This window comes from Homo sapiens, chromosome 3, assembly GCF_000001405.40.
Source record: "Homo sapiens chromosome 3, GRCh38.p14 Primary Assembly".
Taxonomy (NCBI): domain Eukaryota; kingdom Metazoa; phylum Chordata; class Mammalia; order Primates; family Hominidae; genus Homo; species Homo sapiens.
The window spans coordinates 20,095,440-20,116,402 of record NC_000003.12 but is presented as its reverse complement, the minus strand read 5'-3'; the positions used below and the strand labels follow the sequence as shown (position 1 = coordinate 20,116,402).

At 39.0% G+C, this 20,963-nt stretch overlaps 1 protein-coding gene across 3 annotated transcripts in view; it reads right to left on the bottom strand.

The window, feature by feature from the left end:
* The window catches only part of KAT2B (lysine acetyltransferase 2B), a 113,959-nt gene that overhangs the window by 38,002 nt on the left and 54,994 nt on the right, over nucleotides 1-20,963 (bottom strand). For all 3 annotated transcript variants that reach the window (XM_047449147.1, NM_003884.5, XM_005265528.5), the window contains 4 exons: nucleotides 16,449-16,541; nucleotides 14,935-15,116; nucleotides 4,616-4,807; nucleotides 1,415-1,521 (listed from right to left, as the gene is read on the bottom strand). In XM_047449147.1, coding sequence (XP_047305103.1) covers nucleotides 1,415-1,521; nucleotides 4,616-4,807; nucleotides 14,935-15,116; nucleotides 16,449-16,541 — 574 coding nt within the window. The remainder of the gene's footprint in view (nucleotides 1-1,414; nucleotides 1,522-4,615; nucleotides 4,808-14,934; nucleotides 15,117-16,448; nucleotides 16,542-20,963) is intronic.

Below are 20,963 nucleotides of genomic sequence, written 5' to 3'. Positions count from 1 at the left end.
GGATATATTCAAGGCTCTATGAAAGTCTGGAAGAAAAGAGATCCAGTCCTTGCTAGAGGGGATGGGAGAACTTAGGGAAGAGTTTGCAGAAGAAATGCCATTTGAAAGTTAGGTGAGATCAAATCCAAGGTAAAGTGAATAGCACAGGTACAGAGGGAGCAATGCAAAGGATATGTCCAGTAACCACAGAAAACATGTCCACTAAATGCTAACTGCTCAACTGTAGAAGAAACATGTAATAGGCACAGACAGGCCCCAAAGCACTACAGGTTTTGGACCAGAGATACATGAAATTACGATCTCAGGTTAGAAAAAAAAAAAGGACACAAAGATGTTTTTGACATGTTTTTGGTAATGAGCTCAAACAAAAAGAGTATGATTCAAATAAAATTCCTCATTCACTAGTACTTTGGTTTGTAGGGATTTAGTTATATTTACACCTAAACTTGAGGTTCAGATGAAAACCTTTTTCAAAAATCACCTCTCAAATGCATTATGCTGAATTAAAGTTATCAGTCTCAAAAAGCTATCTACTATATGATTCCACTCCTATGACATTCTGGAAAAGGCAAAACTGTAAGAACAAAAACACAGATCACTGGTTCCCAGAGCTGGAGGTAGGACTATGAATGCACTATAGAGAAGTACAAGGCAATCTGTCTGGAAGGAGGCCACTGTTCTATATTTTGATGGCAGTGGTCATTACTCAAGTATATGTGTTTGTCAAAACACAGTACAGTAAAAAGAGTACATTTTACTATATATAAATTATACTTCAATTTTGTTTTTAAAGCAAGAATAAATCATTTTTTCTTTGCTGGAGGCATTAGAGGCAATACTCACAAGCCCCCATAATACACATTGACCTAGAGCACTACAAAAAACTCTTGACGTCAAAATTTTGCATCCTGTCTTTCCCCATGGCCAGATATAAACTGCTTTGGCATTTCTTGCCAAACCTCTCCATGGAGTCTTCCTAGTGTCAAAGGCAGGAATTCAGATCCTCTTTCTGGGATCACTGCGACTCCAGAAGGCATCTGTCTTCCTTCCTCACAAAATGCCAACTGATGCCACTGGCTGATTTAAGCAATAGCAAGGATGCCCTGCCCCACAGGGAAGTAGTTCACATCCTGAGACTCAAGACTGCCGCTTTCACTCACTATCCACCATTATACCTGGTGGTAACTTGATGTATAAAACAGACATCATAGATTAAGAGGTCAGACTGAGACTTGATTCCTAGGTGTATCTAGCCATCGACTGAGACTATAATTGGGTTTGAAAATAGCCAGCATTTGACTATAGAGCTAAGCTCATTTGACTATAGAGCTAAGTATAAGTTGCAGTGAACTGCAACTTACACTTCAGGTTGGCCTCCCTGGTTGTTCTCTGATTCATGTAAAAGGAAACTTACCTGTTTGGATGCCTAGCTGGCTGGTTCTGGAAGAGGCTGAGAGAAAATCCTGATCCCAGATGGGAGAGTTTTGACTATATACTTCTTCTTCTAGCATGGACAGAAATCTAGACACAAGAGTAATAGCAATAAGATTAAAAAAAAACTACTGTAAGGATAACAGCCCTAATTATCTGTGACAATCACCTTAACATCAGCGTCTCAAACCTTCAATCAGAAATATAATGGAGAATTACAACTCAAATTATGATTTAGTTGGGCAGCCCTGGTATATTCAAATACAGAAATGCATTTATACAAATGTTTACTCTTTTGACCCTGCATAGCTTAACACAGCACAGGATACAGACATATGAATTACATCAGTAGAAATGCATTAATCTTCCTCAGTGAATCTCAGAGCACGATTTCAGCCCTCCATATAGCTGCACTGTCACTGTCATTACCATCATAAAAGTTACTAATATTTATCGAGTGCTTGCTTTGTGCCTGCACTGCTCTAAGAACTTCTTACTGAATCCTCACATCAACCCTATGAGTTATATATTCTATTTTTATTTGTCACGCACATATATAGCTCTTACTACATGATAGGCAGTGTTGTAAGTGGTTGATGTATATTAACTCACTTGATCTTTATAACGACCCTATGAGATAAAATTCATACCCATTTCACAGATGAAGAAACTAGGGCACAGAGAAGTGAAATATTTAGATCAAATTCCCACAACTAGTAAATGGCAGGATCAGGATTGGAACCAGTGATTAATTACTATGCTAACTTTAAACTAAATGGATCTCAAGTTTTGGCAACCCATAGAAATCATCTGGAAACCTTATTAGAAATACAGATGCTTATCAGAATAGGGCAGGTGATTTAAAAAGAATAAAAAATTAAAAGAGAAAAAAAGAGAAAAGAAATACAGATACCTAAGTCCCTCTGAGGCTTACTGAATTTTTTTCACCAATAAATGGGAGAAAAACAGAAATAACTAAAAGCACTAAAAATAGTTCAGAGTGGTGAAGCTATCAGTGGTCTTCTTCATTTTTTCCCTGAACCAAATTTTCTTCACTTTTAGAATGAAATATAGATACACAACTTAAAAACAAAAACAAAAACACTTTGTAAATAGGTGAATGGGGAAAGAGGCACACATTAAAGCCAAGTGGAAAAAAAGGCAGCACATATGAAGAATAGGAAGATAAGAATGTAAGCCCTGAAAACACATCTGAGAATTGCAGAGACCTCCCTGGGTGCTGGGAAGCCGGTCCCAGCTCTCACTCTGAAACAGTGCCCAAGACTCAAATAATACCTCAGGCTTCAACATGTGTGGTTCTGCTGCCAAAACTGTAGGTATAAATCCCCAATAGCCTTAAATGTTGTCATATTCGGTGAAAAGGATTTAAAAGGAGAAGTGGGTGGTAGTTTTACCCCACCATTAGTAATAGAGAAGAAAAGAAGGCAGCATTGATGTTTTAGCTCCTAGCATAAGCATGCCAGAACTATGGGCTGAGGGAACAAAACACACTATAATTAGCAAATACCTGCAAGAAGCAAAATGAATTTGTTATGGGAAAAAAATTTATTATGCAAAGTAACTAAAATTTCTCTTTAAATACCATAACAGGTGTTGGGAAGGGAGGAGTCTTCTTTGTACCTTGACTCAGAGACAGAATGACAACTATTACCTGAAAACATAAAATGCTGCTTATATGGCAAATGTAATAGATACATAAGTAAGAAAACTGCTTCAATCTCTAAGGAAAGGAGCTTACATCAGTTAAAAGACACTGAAATACATGAGTGTGCCCTAATTTCATAACCCATTTTGGGAGCAACATCCAAACTGCAGTTTAAGTGCTTCAGAATCTCCCTCCACAGAGGACAACAAAATGTTCATGTCATGACTTAGTCTCATGTACTGGTTCTCTAAAGAAAAATTTGACAATCAGGTTGTTGAAATATATGTGCAAATATTGGGTGTTTGGCCAAAGCCCATCAGAATTACCCATGACATCTATCTAAGGTTTAGGATTTGGGTTAAACTGCCAAGGAATCTTCAGTCAATTTCTGTCAGAAAACCATTTTATTTTTGTTGTTTTGAACCTAACTTATTGTTATGAATTAAAACTCTATCTTCACTGAGACAAAAATTCCATAATCTAATAACACTATCTGAATAATAAAAATCTAGTTTCTCAAACAAAACAGTGTTTCATCAATCTTTGATCAAAGAATATTTCCTCTCAAATTCTATTCTCTACATCAGCAGTTCAGAATGGCATGGGGAAGGAAGGCTATATCATACCTAGCCAGCCTTTTCAAATTACGCCTTTTACCTTCCTGACCAAGCGCTGATCTAGGCGGAATGATAATCACAGAATGAACTGTCTCATTCATTTCTCGCTGTTACTGCTCCATGAGAAGTCATCAACTGCACCCTTGGCCTATCCCACCAGCATCCAACCGCTTAGCTTAAATTTTTGGTTTTTAGCATTAAAAATGCATTTCCAAGGCCAATGGTGCAGCACTGCAACTTTCTATTGCTTTGCAGCATTTCCTTCCATTTAAAATATTTAAATGATCATTTATGCCTTGGAGCTCTGACAGGTGCAAGAAGCAAGGAGCACCAAAGTATGCCTATTCTACAAGAAATTTAGTATAGAGGTTCATCACGCTGAAGGAGCTCTCTATTCCTCTTCATCCCTGCTTTTGCAGTCTAGTTTCCAAAGAGTGGGGGCAAGTCTACTATAGCTGAGGCAGGGATGGTTCACCAGTGCTTGGAAAAAGTTGGAGAAATTGAACGGAAAAAAAAAAAAAAGCCACTTGAGCTCTTTTGCACCATTTCTGAGTGGCTGGAAAATGTACCTAAACATTCTCCCTCATCGTCCTAGAGCTTCCTGGCCGCTGAATATACAAAAGAAAGCACTGCCCCATTCTATGTGAGTCAGAGACAATGACTCAGGTAGGACGAGGAGGGGATAAGGGAGCAATGACGGCAGTCAACCCAAAGTCAGGCTAATAAATGGACTGGAAAATACCCAAGAAGATTCACAAAGGGAACTGAGGGTCTTTTCTCCCATCCCCTTGGAATGTTTCTTCTGTCATTTCCGATCTTGTTATTTATGCAGGCTTTGGCATTGTATTTAGCAACCTCAAGCTCTGGGATCAAACAAAGACCAGCAAAAACTCTCCCTTACTTTGGGAAATGAGTGAGGATTAGAGTTCGTTTTTCAAGAGGCAGTTTATCTTTTTCCTGTCTTGCTTGTTCCAGGAGTTGTCGCCTCATAACAGTGAAGACCGAGCGAAGCAATGTTCTCCCAAACACCTGTGTGGTTTCGTACCGAGGTAGACTGTCGCAGAACTGTGGCACGTTGCAGTAACACAGCCACCTGTGACAAGAGAAGTCAAGCACCATCAATATCCCATAAACCCCCAGGTCATCAGAAATATTCAATTATGTTTATCTCGTACTATTAACTATAGCAGAAAAAAACTAGGCCTGCAATAACAAGCAACAATATCCCTGCCAGCTAGTGAAACTTGGGAATGCAATTAGATTACCCTTACATCACCACTTGTGTCTAATTCTGTTAAAATCACCTTATTCTGCAGCATCATACAGTGAGTCCTGGAATGAAACAGCCCCTGGGATCAAATTCCAGCTGTGTCACTTAACTAGCTGCATAACTTTGAAAATTTGATTACGCTATTTAGCCTTTCCTTCCTTACCTGTAAAATGGGGACAACAATAATACCTACTTCATTGGGTTCTTGTGAGCATTAAATGAAATACTGTATATAAAATGCATAGTATAACTGGAGTTACTGGCACATTAATGGTAGTTTAGATAAAAGAAAAAATTAAAGGAGAAGCTGAGGAAGACCCTTTTGTGAAAGAATCAGAATTAACCACCTAGTCCTTTGAGTAAAATGTAAGATTTATTTAAAATGCCTACACAGCACTTATCGGAGGTTTGGTGGGAAGATAATGATCTTCAGGACTGTTTAAAACTCAGTCAAAAATGTAGGAAGTATTAAGCTTCTACCATTTGTCGCCTAGGTACATTTTTCAACGACTCAGACTCAAAGTCAAAAATGCACCTCAGCATCACTGCACGACGCTGGAGGAGGACCCAGACCAGAGGGAAGCCAGGACTTTTCTTGAGATGTGACCACAGTTCTAGGGTACACTGACAATACAGGTCATCTAATTTAGAAAGTGCATTCGGCCAACATACAGTGGAGAGTAAAAGTCTATTCAAAAATAAACCTCTTTTTCTTTCTTTTTCTTTCTTTTTTTTTTTTTTTTTTTGAGACAGGGTCTCACTGTGTCACCAAGGCTGGAGTGCAGTGGTACAATCTCGGCTCACTGCAACCTCTACCTCCTGGGCTCAAGTGACCCTCCTACCTCAGCCTGCCAAACAACTGGGACCACAGGCATGCACCACCACATGTGGCTAATTTTTTCTTATTTTTTGTAAAGACGGGGTTTCACTATGTTGCCCAGGATTGTCTCGAACTCCTGGACTAAAGAGATCCACCCACCTCGGCTTCCCAAAGTGCTGTGATTACAGGCATGAGCTACCAAACTGAGACAACCCTATTTTTTTTTTATCTCCCAGAAGTGAAGATGTGAATTTCCCAGGACCCAAAAACATAAATATAACAGTGGTAGCCATGGAGGGTGGCACCAAACGAGGAAAAGGTCAAAAAGCATTATTCCACAGATTCTTATTCCTTCAGAGCAGACCCAAATCATCCTCTTCTAGGAAAGGACTGCCTTCCAAAAATCAAACCTCTCCTCCCTATGTGCTTTCCTGTTCTCCTTTCAAATGGGAGACAGCTTTCTAATGCGCCCAAGCTGCTACAAAAAGCTCCCAATGAACTTTGAGCCCTTTAATGAAGAGAGGAATAATATTAATTTATTCATGCTCCTGACTTTTTTTTTTAAATCTTATTCTGCATTATAAAATATTTTGCCTGTATGTGTGCTAGTGGTGGAAATGGTGGTGGCTGTGGCAGTGGTTCACCTTTGGAGAAAAAGCTTTCATTAGTGTTAGTTCATCTGCCTACATTAAAAATTAACCTAAAATTTCTGCTACTATTTCTATGTCTTCTCTCAACTTTTTTCCTTTAATAATTTACACCCAAATGTTGTTTATGTTTACAATACTGAAATGGGTATCTTAAGTGTTAATGTTGTCTTTTGTCTGAAACAGTGATCTTGGTAGCAGAAAAAAATTATAAAGTGCATTTATTTTGTAATTCATAAGGTGCTTCATATAGAAATTCATTGCTTTCAAAGCCAATTGTTTGCTAGATGTTAGTCTGTGGCCACTTAATTAAGTTAAAAGAATGGGCTGGCTAGGCATGGCATGGTGGCTTACACCAGTCATCCCAGTGCTTTGGAAGGCCCAAGCAGGAAGATCGCTTGAGCCCAGGAGTTCAAGACCAGCCTGGGCAACATAGTAAGACGCCCATCTCTACAAAAAGTTTAAAAATCAGCCAGATGTATTGGCACATACCTATATTCCTAGCTACTTGGGAGGCTGAGGAGGTAGGATCACTTGAACCTAGGAGTTCTAGGCTGCTGTGAGCTATGATTGTGCCACTGCAATGCAGCCTGGGTGACAGAGTGACAGAATGAGACACTGACATGCTATCTATCTATCTATCTATCTATCTATCTATCTATCTATCTGGGGCTGAGGGGAAGTCAGATCAAATAACTAGTAATGAAACCATAGAGTTAAACAGTCACAGATCTTCATAATCAGAAGTTCAATTTCGTGAGACTTAGGCAATCACAAGACTATCTGTAAGAATTAATATGGTCATGTCTTTCATGTCTTGCTTAACAACGGGAATACATTCTGAGAAATGAGTCAGGTGATTTTATCATTGTGCAAACACTGGAGAGTGTACCTACACAAACCTAGATGGTAGAACCTACTACACACTTGGCACCTAGGCTCTATGGCAGAGGTCCCCAACTTTTTTGGCACCAGGGATTGCTTTCATGAGAGACAATTTTTCCATGGCTGGGGGTAGAAGGGATGGTTTCCAGATGAAACTGTTCCACCTCAGATCATCAAGCATTAGACTCTCAGAAAGAATGTACAGCTTAGATCCCTCACATGCACAGTTCACAATAGAGTTCAGGCTCCTATGAGAATCTAATGCCACCACTGATCTGACAGGAGGTGGAGCTCAGGCTGTAATGCTCACTCGCCCACCACTCACTTCCTGCTGTGCAGCCCGGTTCCTAATGAGCCACGGACCTATGGTGGACCATGGCCCAGGGGTGGGGGACCCCTGCTCTATGGTCTAGTCTATTGCTCTTAGGCTGCAAACCTCTACAGCATATTACTGTACTGAATACTACAAACGACTGTAACATAATGGTAAGTATTTGTATATCTAAATATACCTAAACATGGAAAGGTACAGCAAAATTTTGGCATAATCTTAAAGGACTACTGTCATTATATGTGGTCCATTGCTGACTAAAATGTTGTTATGCAGATCCTAAATTTTAAAAATAACAAAATATGTCCAATCTTCTGCAATGAAAGGTTTAAAGATTTATTGTCCAATAAAGCTTTCACTGATGATGGGGATGATTCTATGTCTCTGCTATCCAATACAGTAGCCACCAGCCATTGGTAACTATTGAGCACTTGAAATGTGGCTAGTATGACTGAGTTTAACTTTTAATTTTATTTAATCAATTTCAATTTTACTTTTAAATGGAAACAGTGTAAAATGTTTTCCCATTAAACACAACTTGATTGTTCTAGTAGGACTCCATTTAGTTTTAATTGTTTAAAATTTAGCTACTGAATTAAGATGTGTGAAAAATACACACTGGATTTGGCCGGGTGCAGTGGCTCACACCTGTAATCCCAGGACTTTGGGAAGTTGAGGCAGGTGGATTACCGGAGGTCAAGAATTCAAGACCAGCCTGGGGAACATGATGAAACCCCATCTCTACTAAAAAATATAAACATTAGCCAGGCATGGTGGCAGGCGCCTGTAGTCCCAGCTACTTGGCAGCCTGAGGCAGGAGAATCGTTTGAACCTGGGAGGCGAAGGTTGCAGTGAGCTCAGATCATACCACTGCACTCCAGCCTGGGAAACACAGCAAGACTCCAACTCAAAAAAAAAAAAAAAAAAAAGGAAAAAGCAAAATAAACACTGGATTTGGAGGTTTGAAGGACTCAGTACTAAGAAAGTAAGTATACATCCTTAATAATTTTTCACAATGGTTACATGGTGAAATTATATTTTTGTGGGTTTTTTGTTTTTGTGGTTTTTTTTTTTTTTTTGAGACATAGTATTGCTCTGTGCCCCAGGCTGGAGGGCAATGGCATGATCTCGACTCACTGCAACTTCCACCTCCCCATTCAAGCAACTCTCCTGCCCCAGCCTCCCAAGTAGCTGGGATTACAGGTGCCCGCCACCATGCCTGGCTAATTTTTGTATTTTTAATAGAGACAGGGTTTCACCATGTTGGCCAGGCTGGTCTTGAACTCCTGACGTCAAGTGATCCATCCGCCTTGGCCTCCCAAAGTGCTAGGATTACTGGCGTGGGCCACCGCTCCCAGCTGAAATGGCATTTTTTATATATTGGGTAAAAAATATATATATTATTGGCCAGGTCTGGTGGCTCATGCCTATAATCCCAGCACTTTGGGAGGCCGAGGAGGGCAGATTACTTAAGGTCAGGAGTTCGAGATCAGCCTGGCCAACATGGTGAAACGCCGTCTCTACTAAAAATACAAAAATGAGCCAGCTGTGGTGGCGCATGCCTGTAATCCCAGCTACTCGGGAGGCAGAGACGGGAATGGCTTGAACCCAGGAGGTGGAGGTTGCAGTGAGCCAAGATTGCACCACTGCACCCCAGCCTGGGAGACACAGCAAGACTCCGTCTCAAAAAAAAAAAAAAAAAAAAAAAAAAAAAAAAAAATATATATATATATATATATATATATATATATATATACATATATATATATATATACACATAAAATTCAGAATAATTTCTTATATCTATTCATTTTATACGTAGCTACTAGAAAATTTTTAATTATATATCTGGCTTGCATTTTTGGCTCATATTATATATCTACTGGACAGTGCTGATTTAGAGTCTAAACAGCATTTCCATCTGAGGAGAGATCTGCAAACGTCTAAGGCTCTAAGACTGACATTATTTCTGATACAAAGATGATAGGTTATAAATATTATCATAAAATCCTAAAAAGTTATCCAAAAGTGCTTTAACAGGTTATTCAATCTTCCCAGGGTAGAAGACAGCATAGATTGTTATTAGCTAGTAAAAATGTTCAAATAATGGGCTTTCATTCATTTCCTCAAAGTCATTTTATAGACCTCAATTTATACTTTTCAGCTTTTTCTTAACTTCCAAGATTAATCTTATTTTGTACTCTGTTAAATTCACTGTAGATTAAGACAATGAGGCTGAGTCAATGTGTGTGTGTGTGAGAGAGACAGAATGTGTGTGTGTGTGTGTGTGTGTGTGTACTTCTGGTGTTGTTTTAATAAATTGATTGATATTATTATTGCACACAGTGAGACAGAAAGAAGGAAACGGACGTGCATGAGCACATGTATTCCTCCAAAGAAGTAACTGTAGAAAAGATTTTACCTACATGACTGATTTCGGGTCTACTAAAAAGAAGCAAAATGATAGTTCGTTCATTTTTGTATGTCTAATAAAGATGGTATTTGCATGCTATTTTCTTACTGTTCAAATAACTCCCAGATTTTTCACATCATGATGATGATTTGTAACTTCTGTGAACAGAAATTAAAAATGTGAACACAGAAGACCATGTCATTCTACTGACTTGCTGAACTGAAAATCCTGTGGTTTTCAGGAATAAACTGATCTGCCCTAGTTCACAGGGACTGAGGCCCAGTTACTTAATTAAAGTCCAGACTAGAAGTCAGATCTCCTGTTTCCTAGTGTTCTTTCCATGCTTCCTGATAAATCTGTTCTAGACTTACATGTCTAATAATGAATGCTCAGTATACATGGCAATAGGCTGTACATCATAGAAGAATGGCTAAATAAAACTGTTTCCCAAAAACAAGTTAGTTCTAGCTAACTTGCTATGTATTCTTTTTCTTCTTCTTCTTCTTTTTTTTTTTTTTTTTTCAGACAGGGTCGTGCTCTGTCACCCAGGCCGGAGTGCAGTGGTAGGATCATGGACAGCTCCAAGCAGCCTTGACCTCCCGGGCTCAAGCAATCCTCCCACCTCAACCTCCAGAGTCGCTGGGACCACAGGCTCATGCCACCACAGACACATGCCACCACACCCAGCTAGTTTTTTATTTTTATTTTTGTAGAGATGAAGTCTCATTCTGTTGCCCAGGCTGGGCTCAAACTCCTGGGCTCAAGCGATCCTCTCGCCTCAGCCTCCCAAAGTTGCTGGGATTACAGGCATCAGCTACTGCACACAGCCACTCTGTATTCTTATGAAACATCTCCCCAGTGTGGGGGTAAGCTTTAACTTTCAAAAGTTCTACACAATTCAAAATCTAAGACTAATTACTTGCACTTTCCTTCAGCAGACTGTTGGACAGTTGTATTTTAAGAAGTCATAATCCTGTGACACTTTCTTTTTAGGTTATTTCTTCATGGAATTAAATAGTGTACTATCATGAAATTCAGGAACTTCAAAATATTTGCCCACATTTTTTTCTATAACCACAATTGCTCCTGGGAGTATATATAAGGTACAGTTAACATACACTTATGTAACAATATTTAGGTTGAGCAAGGTGGCTCACGCCTTTAATCCCAGCACTTTAGGAGGACGAGGTAGGCAGATCACCTGAGGTCAGGAGTTCGAGACTAGCCTGGCCAACATGGTGAAACCCCATCTTTACTAAAAATACAAAAATTAGCCAGGCATGGTGGCACGCACTTGTAATCCTAGCTACTTGGGAGGCTAAGGCAGGAAAATCGCCTGAACTCAGGAGGTGGAGGTTGCAGTGAGCTGAGTCGCGCCACTGCACTCCAGCCTGGACAACAGAGTGAGACTCCATCTCAAAAAAAAAAAAAACAAAAAAACAACAAAAAAAGAATACTTATATTTTTCTTTTCTTCAGAACAGAGAAGTAATTTAAGCAGTACTACTGTTCAGTCTGCTTTTAATTTTTATGGAATAAATATTTACAAGTTAGCTCTGTAATGAACACAATCATTTTCTAAGTCCAGTCTTTTCCACAAAGAATCCTGTTTAACTTCATTTTCAGACTGATATACTGCAAACATTTTCGGCACATCTTTGTTCTAATATTTACAGTAACTGCTGTAAGTTATAAGCTGAACCAGCGTTATAGGTCCTGAGGTTCTCTTACAGCAACATCAAGATAAAGCCTGCTGGTGCCTGCAGCCAGTAATATTACCCATTTTTGAGAAGATCAGTATCAGTGAGACATCATGCTGTGGTGGTATGTGGTTTTTTTAATTCCCCATGTGGTCATGGCAGTGAGGTTTTACTCCGAATATTGATTCTCCTAATTTTCACAGGTTGTTCCTCTCTACTTCCCTTTCCTCATCAACATGACGTGATGGTGGGGACGTGGGGGAGGTTGGTGTCATCTACCTTCATTTCCTTATTTATTATTAATAGGGGCTATTGGTCTACATTTCACCTAGAAATCAGCACGTTTCAGAACTCATTAGGGCATATTCATTTCTGTTTCTCTCAGCAAGTTTCTCTTTCCCATTGTCTGACTCCACTTTTTGCCTTCAGCTGTTGGCTCAGGAGGCTGGGCTATAAAGGACTCTTTTGCTGTTTTTCTATTCCCTGCTATCTTAATTTCTAAAGCGATATTCAAATAATTACACACTCACTCAATTATACATTTAAGGCTTTAGCTTAATAAGCTCCACATTGGCAGTGACTGAGTTTTAGAGAACAATGTGCATGGGAGGAAAATGATGATGAGCATCTTCCCAGCACCTGCTCTGTGTGTCAGAAACTACATACAAACCACCCATGGAATACTCACAAAAGTCATGACACTTGGACAGAGAAAGAAACCAAAAGTCTCTTTAGACCAGAGACTGGTCTAAAGCTCATGTAAAAAGGGAGAGATGGACCCACACCATTCAAACCCAGCACTCATCCAAACCAATTTCCATTTTTACTACTTCTTAAGTATTCATAAGTGCCACCAATTTCTTAGTAATTCTCAAAGGCTGCCTTGCATTTTTCTTCTGTTTTCTAAAATATCATAGCTGGGCACAGTGACTCACACATGTAATCTCAGCACTTTGGGAGGCCAAGGTGGGAGGATTGCTTGAGGTCAGGAGTTTGAGACCAGCCTGGGCAACACAGCGAGACCCCATCTCTATAAAAAATAAACAAATAGCCAGGCATGGTGGCATGTGCCTGTAGTCCCAGCTACTAAGGAGGCTGAGATAGATGAATTGCTTGAGTCTAGGAGGTTGAGGCTACAGTGAGCTATGATCATGCCACTGCGCTCCAGCCCAGGATACAGAATAAGACACCATCTCTAAAAAAAATAAAAATAAAAATAAAACAAAATATACTAATGTCTCCCAAGCTGCTTCACAATTAATTCTCCTTTTTCTTGATGAAACGATTATTTTCTCTGCTAAAAGTCGCAAATGCATTCAGGGCCCTGGCTTTGACAAATATTCAGCTTTGTCAATTGTTCACAGACGGGATTAAAAAATACATATTTTTGAGAGACTTATCGTCTCAACTCTTATTATAAACAAGAGTTTCAATAATATAGCAGAGTTTCAATAATACAGAACTATTGTTAATGTAAAATCCTAAAATGAAAGATACGGAAATGAAGATATAATTTAAAAACTTATTTTGAAGAAATCTGCAATTCCTATAAATATCAATTATTAAGGAGAAAATACTTTATAACTGAAATTGCATATATTTGCAAAAGTGAAGAGAAAGAGAGGAAAAGGGTGTGTTACACATGAAACTAGGTCAATGTCAGAGAGGAAAGCTTATTTTAAATTATACAATTCTTCCATGTTATCTGCTGTTACAGAAAATAACCTGGGCACAAGTGGTCTTGACAGGCTATCAAAAGATACTACTGCCCACTTTAAATCAGGAAAAAAGTAGGCACTAAAGCTCCCTAATGCAAGCTTGATGTGCCTCTGAAATATAAACAGAGAAAAGTTATAGAAAAGTTATAAAAAAGTTGAAAAGAATGGATGACCCAAGTCACAGTCCTTCAGATGAAAATAAATGTAGGTCCTTATATTTTGTATGGTACAAGTTTAAGATTTGTAAAACCAATTCTGTTATTCTGCAAGTAATAAGCAATAAAAATAAATTTCCACTTTAGAAGAAAATATATGTTCAATCCAAGACTATCTGCAGAGTTTGAATGTCCAGCAATAGAGAAATGGTTAGGTAAATTGTGGTAAATCAACTCAATGGACTATAATGTAACCTGTGAAATGTTTGATATGATATTAAGTGAAGAGACATAAAGGCTACAAAATTCTACATTTTCTTTCATTATAACTAATGTAAAATGTTATTTAAAAGGACAAAACCTGGAAGATAATATGTATAATGATGTCAGTTCCATCACAGTTCTGGAACTAAGCTAATCTTTCCTTTAAAAAAAATTTTTTTTTTGAGACAGAGTCTTGCTCTGTTGCCCAGAGTGCACGATCTCAGTTCACTGCAAACTCTGCCTCCAGGGTTCAAGTGATTCTCCTGCCTCAGCCTCCCAAGTAGCCAGGATTACAGTCACGTGACACCATGCCCAGTTAATTTTTGTATTTTTAGTAGAGATGGGGTTTCACCATATTGGCCAGGCTGGTCTTGAACTCCTGACCCAAGTGATCTACCCACTTTAGACTCCCAAAGTGCTAGGATTACAGGTGTGAGCCACCATGCCCAGCCTAAAAAAAATTCTTTAACTTCATTATATGGTCATTGCATTTTTTGAGTGAGGGCTCTAATTAATTTCAGAGTTATAGTGTAGCTATCTAGTCAACTATATTCAATAGATAAATAACACAAGCCACATATGGATTTTAAATTTTCTAGTAGCCACACTGGAATGGTAAAAACAGGTAAAATTAACTTCAATATATTTTATTTAATCCAATGTATCCAATGTACTATCATTTCTACATGTAATCAATATTTTAAAAGTATTAATGAGCAATTTTAAACTCCTTTTTGGTACAATCATAGAAATCTCAATTCAAACTAGCCACATTTTCAAGTGCTCATATAGCTAGTGGCTATCACACTGGGTATAGATGATTTACATCCCTCACACCTCAACATATTATGATAGCAATGAAAAGCAGGAGTTTGCAAGTTAAATTATAAAGACATTATCTCTGAATTGATGGAGTCATAATGATAACTAGGCAGCCCTATACTTATAGAGTCAAGTACAATTTTAGGTCTGTAACAGGCTTTATGGGGCCAAAGGAAAAGAACTTGCATCTGATTACCTTGTGTAGTTCTCTTTGTATCCAGAAATATCATCATTGGGAGATCGCAGTCTTCGTTGAGATGGTGCCTCCAGATGCCAATAGTTGATGCGGTTTAGGAACATTTTTGCCAACTCAACTATTGTTTGCCTTTCTTTTGCTGGCAGGTGACTAAATTTGTACTGCACAAAGTTATTCACACCCTTAAAAAGAGGGAAGGCAATTTCTTCATGCAGCTATGCAATCATACTAATTCTGAACACCCACACAGCCAGCATGATTGGTGGTTATTAGCAAAATAACAGACATTTCTCTATTCACAAAAATCTCTTCCTTTTCCCTAAAAGAAAATAGCAATCCCCAGAGGGAATCTTGCCTCAGATCACGGTGGATGAAAAGTGACAAGACAGAGAGGCTGTGAGTTGTGATTCTACGCCTGCTGAAATCCTGAAGCATTAAGGAGAAAATCAAAACCATGGACTGAAAAGGTCAAAACCCCTGAAACAAGAAAATATGACTGTTGTGCAGAATAATTATTGCTTTACTATCAGCAGAGTAGCCCACATATAATGCAGTTCTTAGATAAATATTGTTTTTACATTACAAAAATGCTAATCAAAAACCTGCTATCATGCCTACCACTGAACTAAACAACTAAAATTTAAACTCTTTACTATCATTTGTTTGAAGTCAATAAGCTTACCAAAATATATATATCATTCAAAATTATGGGCTTTTAAAAAAACTGTTAATTTAATCTTTCTACAGAATATTTCCATCTCATCTAATTTCAAATAAAAGAGCAATGAATTCTTATTTAATAGAGTTTGGAGGCAAAATAAAATTTACTGAAAACTGACTGATAAAAATGCATTTATTTTTAAGGATTCTGGTATCATGACTTCAGTAGTCATTCTCATCAAAAAATTCAGTCCAGAGTGTTTTTGTTTAGCCAAACAATCAAAGGCTAAAAAAGTGATGCTAATGAGAGATACTGACAACACCTAACAGAAAAACTCTTTACATTTTAACAGATTCCCTGAGTAAAACGGCTTCTTTCCAGGAATCATAATGTAGCAGGAAGTCCATTTCTGGGTACAAAATCTCATTTCTTTTTTGCTTTTTTTGCTTGACTTACAATGTTTTTCACATTGCTACTAAATCCCCTCACCTCAATAGGCTTTCTCAGACAGTGCCAAGCAAATGGACAAAGACTTCATTTTAAAGCACCAACAACAAGAAAAAGCACATTTCATGTGTTCTTCTTACAAACTACATGTTCTACTTAATGTTTTTCTTCCCCAAACACACAGTAAACTGTGAGTATGTAACAACCCTAAAAGGCAAAAGCTAGATCATGTATTAAATTAGGTATACACCTCTGATCCAAAGCCTCCAGGACAATTTCCACAGACTGGTAAACATCTCTAACCTGGGTATGGAGGAGGGAAGCCGTAGATAGAGATATAAAAGGAGGATTAAAAGATTTCTTCAGCCTTGAGCCAATAAAAAGAGGGCTTTTAAAATCTTTTTACCTGTTCAATGCTAGGTTTTTCAAATGGGGGTTTCTTTTCCAAAGAGCCTTCAACCACAGGTTTTCCTCTTTGTAAAATAGACTTTCTCAAGAGCTGCAAAGAAATCATTAAAAAAAAGAAAAAGAAAAACTTAATTGGTATGTCTATCTCTCTCTCCTCTCTCTTCTGTTTCTGTCTGTCTCTCTCTCTCTCTCTTACACACACACACACAGCCTTTAAAGGAAGTTACCATATTCTATTTATCTTAACTATATATAAACAAATCCTTAAGTCAATAAAATGGGCAACTATCAGGTAACCCAAATTGGCCTTCATGTCCACGGCCAGAGTTATGAAGAAATGGACACCTTTCATGTTCTGGGCAGCCTAGGCCACCCATGCTGGTCCAACAGACACCACCGTCCCATGCACTTCCCTCTTCTCCCCACTGTTTCTGGCTTTCCATTGACCCAGAGGCCTGGTATGCAACCCTACACACTTGGCACATGCCCATCCAGGCCACTATAGGTGTGCTGAAGCTCTAGAGGATCTTATTTAAAGACGTGAGAGACCAAGATCTATTCTGCACAAAAGAGGCCAGGGGACAGGAGCTGTCTACAGCAGCTGCACGGCATACGCATCATCTAGGGCACAGGCTCTTTAGGAAGAAAGTCTGCAGAGCTCTAAATGGGCAACTTTCACTGTTACAGTCTTTTTTTCATTTCCCTTCCATCCGTAGAATGCAGGCCAACTGTTCTGGCATCTCAATGCCCACAAAACAAAAACACTGCTCTTAATTCCTGCCACTGGAATTTAAAGCTCTCAAAGAGCAAACAGAAAAGGGAACACAGAGCCACTTACCAAGAACAACGCAGAAAATAAATTTGATATTGAAATTCTTTACCTTCGATCTTTGCTTGAATCTTCTGTAACTTTTACATGTGGGTCAGTTAGATATGGCCACACATTTATTTAAGTAACATCTTTCCCTCCTTTCTCGCTTACTGCCTTTTCAGTAGAAACAAAACATGGAAACCATTCTCTCAGGGGTAAATGGAACCTGATGAACCACCAAGATTGAAGATGACCATGTCTCACCACTGAACTGTGTCTTACAAGGACCTCAACTCCTTCCAGGGGTGCCATACAAATTATGAGTATGGGGCATCTGTTCATCCTTTCAAGTATTATGCCCATCTTTATAAAAGCAAATTAGCAATAAAGATAAGTCATTGTATATGTTTCTAAGAATATCTAAAGATTGGTCATAAAAATTAAATACAAATAATTCTGGTTGCTTACTTTTTTTCCCCAGTTAAAATAAGACCATTTAGGAACTTGGCCCATTTGGGGGTTTCAATTTGGAGGTAAACTGATGGATTGTGGAGATGTTGAACTTCAGTTTATCTATAAGATGATGAAGCTGGGATAAGTGTGCATATAAAAAAAAGTTCTTAATAGCAGCAGGCATTTGCATCCTTAATTTCAACAGACAATCTTCATGGTTCTTCACATATATTATCTCATTTAATACTTACAACCTTTTGAGGTAGGTGCTACTACTAACAAGGCAGATTAACTTGCCCAAAGTCACATTTAGTAAGTGATAGAGCAAAGTTTTAAACCCAGGTAGTTAGACTCCAGCGCCACATTTGTAAGCACTAAGATATACTTCAACTTTAGGACGCAGCTTTCCATTGGGTTTATGTTCAACATCTAAGACTGACTTTTTTTTTTTTTTAATTTGGGACGTTGTCTCACTCTGTCGGCCAGGTTGGAGTGCAGTGGCATGATCTCAGCTCATGGCAACCTCTGCATCCCGGACTCAAGCAATTCTCCTGCCTCAGCCTCTCAAGTAGCTGGAATTTACAGGTACACACAACCACACCTGGCTAATTTTTGTATTTTTATAGAGACAGAGTTTCACCATGTTTGCCAGGCTGGTCTTGAACCCCTGACCTCAGGTAATGGGCCTGCCTCAGCCTCCCAAAGTTCTGGGATTACAGTTGTGAGCCACCGTGCCCAGACTAAGACTGAAATTTTTTAATTCTACTAAAATATGTAACACATTTTTACTTTAATTATTGACACATGAGACACAGGAACTGCCTTTCTCTTTTTTTCTTTTTAAAAAATCATGGGCCAGATGCAGTGGCTCATGCCTGTAATCCCAGCACTTTGGAAGGCCGAGGGGGGAGATCACTTGAGGCTAGGAGTTCAAGACAAGCGTGGCCGACAATGTGAAACCCCATCTCTACTAAAAATACAAATATTAGCCGGGCATGGCGGCACACACCTGTAATCCCAGCTACTCAGGAGGCTGAGGCAGGAGAATCACTTGAACTCAGGTGGTGGAGGTTGCAGTGAGCTGAGATCACACCACTTCACTCTAGCCTGGATGACAGAGTAAGATTCTGTCTCAAAAAAGTTAAAATTAAAAAAAAATTTTAATCATTATTTTTGTTTTGTTTTTAGGAATTGCCTTTCAGAAGCTAAGGAATAGATTATTTATAACTTATTTGCCCAAGAATAATACTTTTTGCAGGAGGTGGGGAGAATGCTGAATATTTTGGATTGTGTTTCCACAAGCAAATATATTTGCACTGTTATTTTAAGATGAAGGAGGGAAGAAAGAGAGAGAAGATGTACTTTAAAGCAGAGCAATGCTTTCTGGCTTGTTTGGTTGGTTATAAACTAAATAGAGGCTGACAGGATGGAAACCTTGACACCACCTTCACTTCCAACAGGGTAGTGGGGAGCTGCCAGGGAGCACAGTTCCAAGACAAATAATAGCTGTAGTCAGGCAGACCTTGTTTTTCTTCAACTAAGATCTTTTTCCAAAGAAGCTCTAAACACTATGAACCTGCCAGGGTTCGAGCTGAATGACTCAAACCTCACAGCCATGTCAACAAGTTGTCACCTGGATGCCTAAAGTGGTCCAGTGCCTGCTAATGGCTGTGGGGAATCCAGCTGTTCATATTCTCTCTCTTCCCCCACTCTCTTTCTCTCTCTCTCTCTCTCTCTCTTTCCTATTATTCTTTTTAAAGTTAATATCCCCAAATTTAATATCTACCAAATTTTAAAAATATAATTCTACCTCCCACTCCTATCTCCTAACCACCCAAAAAAACCCATTAGTACAATAAAAGACAAAAGTTAATAAAAAGGGGGAAAGGCAAAATTATGAATCAAATAAGTTCAGACAAAGAAAAGAAAAGAGCTATAGGAACTGGGTACAAAATTTGCACTAAGATTCCTAGCAGCCAAAGCAAAAGAGGGAACTCACTGGAAAATTTAGCTGTTTTTGTCATATAAAAATGAAGTACAAATAAATATAAATGAGTTGAAGGAGAGTTATTATAAAATGAAGCACAGTGCTTCTTATTAGAAGAGGCAAACTTTTCCTACCCATAAGCTCTGAGTGCTTTTGTTTTGCTTTCAACATCCTTGTAAGGGTTACACAATACAACATAATCTACAATGCCCTCAGTAGCAGGTTTATTTTTTTTTAAGGTTATTCCTTCTGGCAGCCTCCTTTATAGATCTATTTTTGGCAACCTGAAGTTTTGCTATCCATTTCCACCACCAGTTTCCTTCCCACATCGTTAGTCCTGGCTCTAATCAGAAGCTTGAGGAGATGTATGTCTATAGTAGGGAATGGATGTGACCCACATGGAGCTGAGGTAGAACTAGTGAAGAGGCAGCTACGGGGAATGGCAGCAGTAATCGGTGACTGGTGTCAGTGAGAAACAGGTAACAGTGGCTAAGTTACCAAAATAAATTTGGAATATGTTGATTTCTCCTCTTAAAGCATTAGAGATAGGACTTACAGCCACTCCTCCAACTACATCTCCTCCCACCCAACCCTCTGCTCGCTGGGCTCCACCACGCTGCCCTCCTTGCTGTACAGACATCACTTCAAGCTCTCTTAGTGCACGGCCTAAAATACCCGTTCCTCCCTCTGCCTCGGAGTCTCTTCCCCTAGCACTTTGCACAGATGGCTCCTATCTCCCACTCAGGTTTCTGCTCAACTTCCATCTCCTCAGAGAGGCTATCCTAACTGACCTTCCTCGCTGGCATGTCCCCAACTCGCCACCATCCCTGCCATTCTGATTCCACTTATCCTACTTTGTTTCTCTTCGGCCAACACTTATCACCACCTGCAAAGGTATTATTTACTTGTTGACTGTCTCTTCTGCTGAAATATATATTGCATGAGGGGAAGAACTCTGTTTTGTCCACTGTTCTATCCCTCATGCCTACGTTAGTGCCACATGCAGAACAGATGTGCAATAAATATTTGTTGGGTGGATGGAAAAAATCTATTTGCATATGCAAACCAAGATACTCAACTTTGCATACAAGTGTAAAAGCCTCAAAGAGAATGATGTGTTCAAACTATGGTGGGCCATTTTAGAGAATCAGTCATGAAGAAACGTATTGTTCAGCAAACTCTGAGGGCAAAATGTACCAGGAGCTGAAAGCCTTCACAGCCACGACCTGGCATATGGAGACTGGGTACATTTGAATAATGAG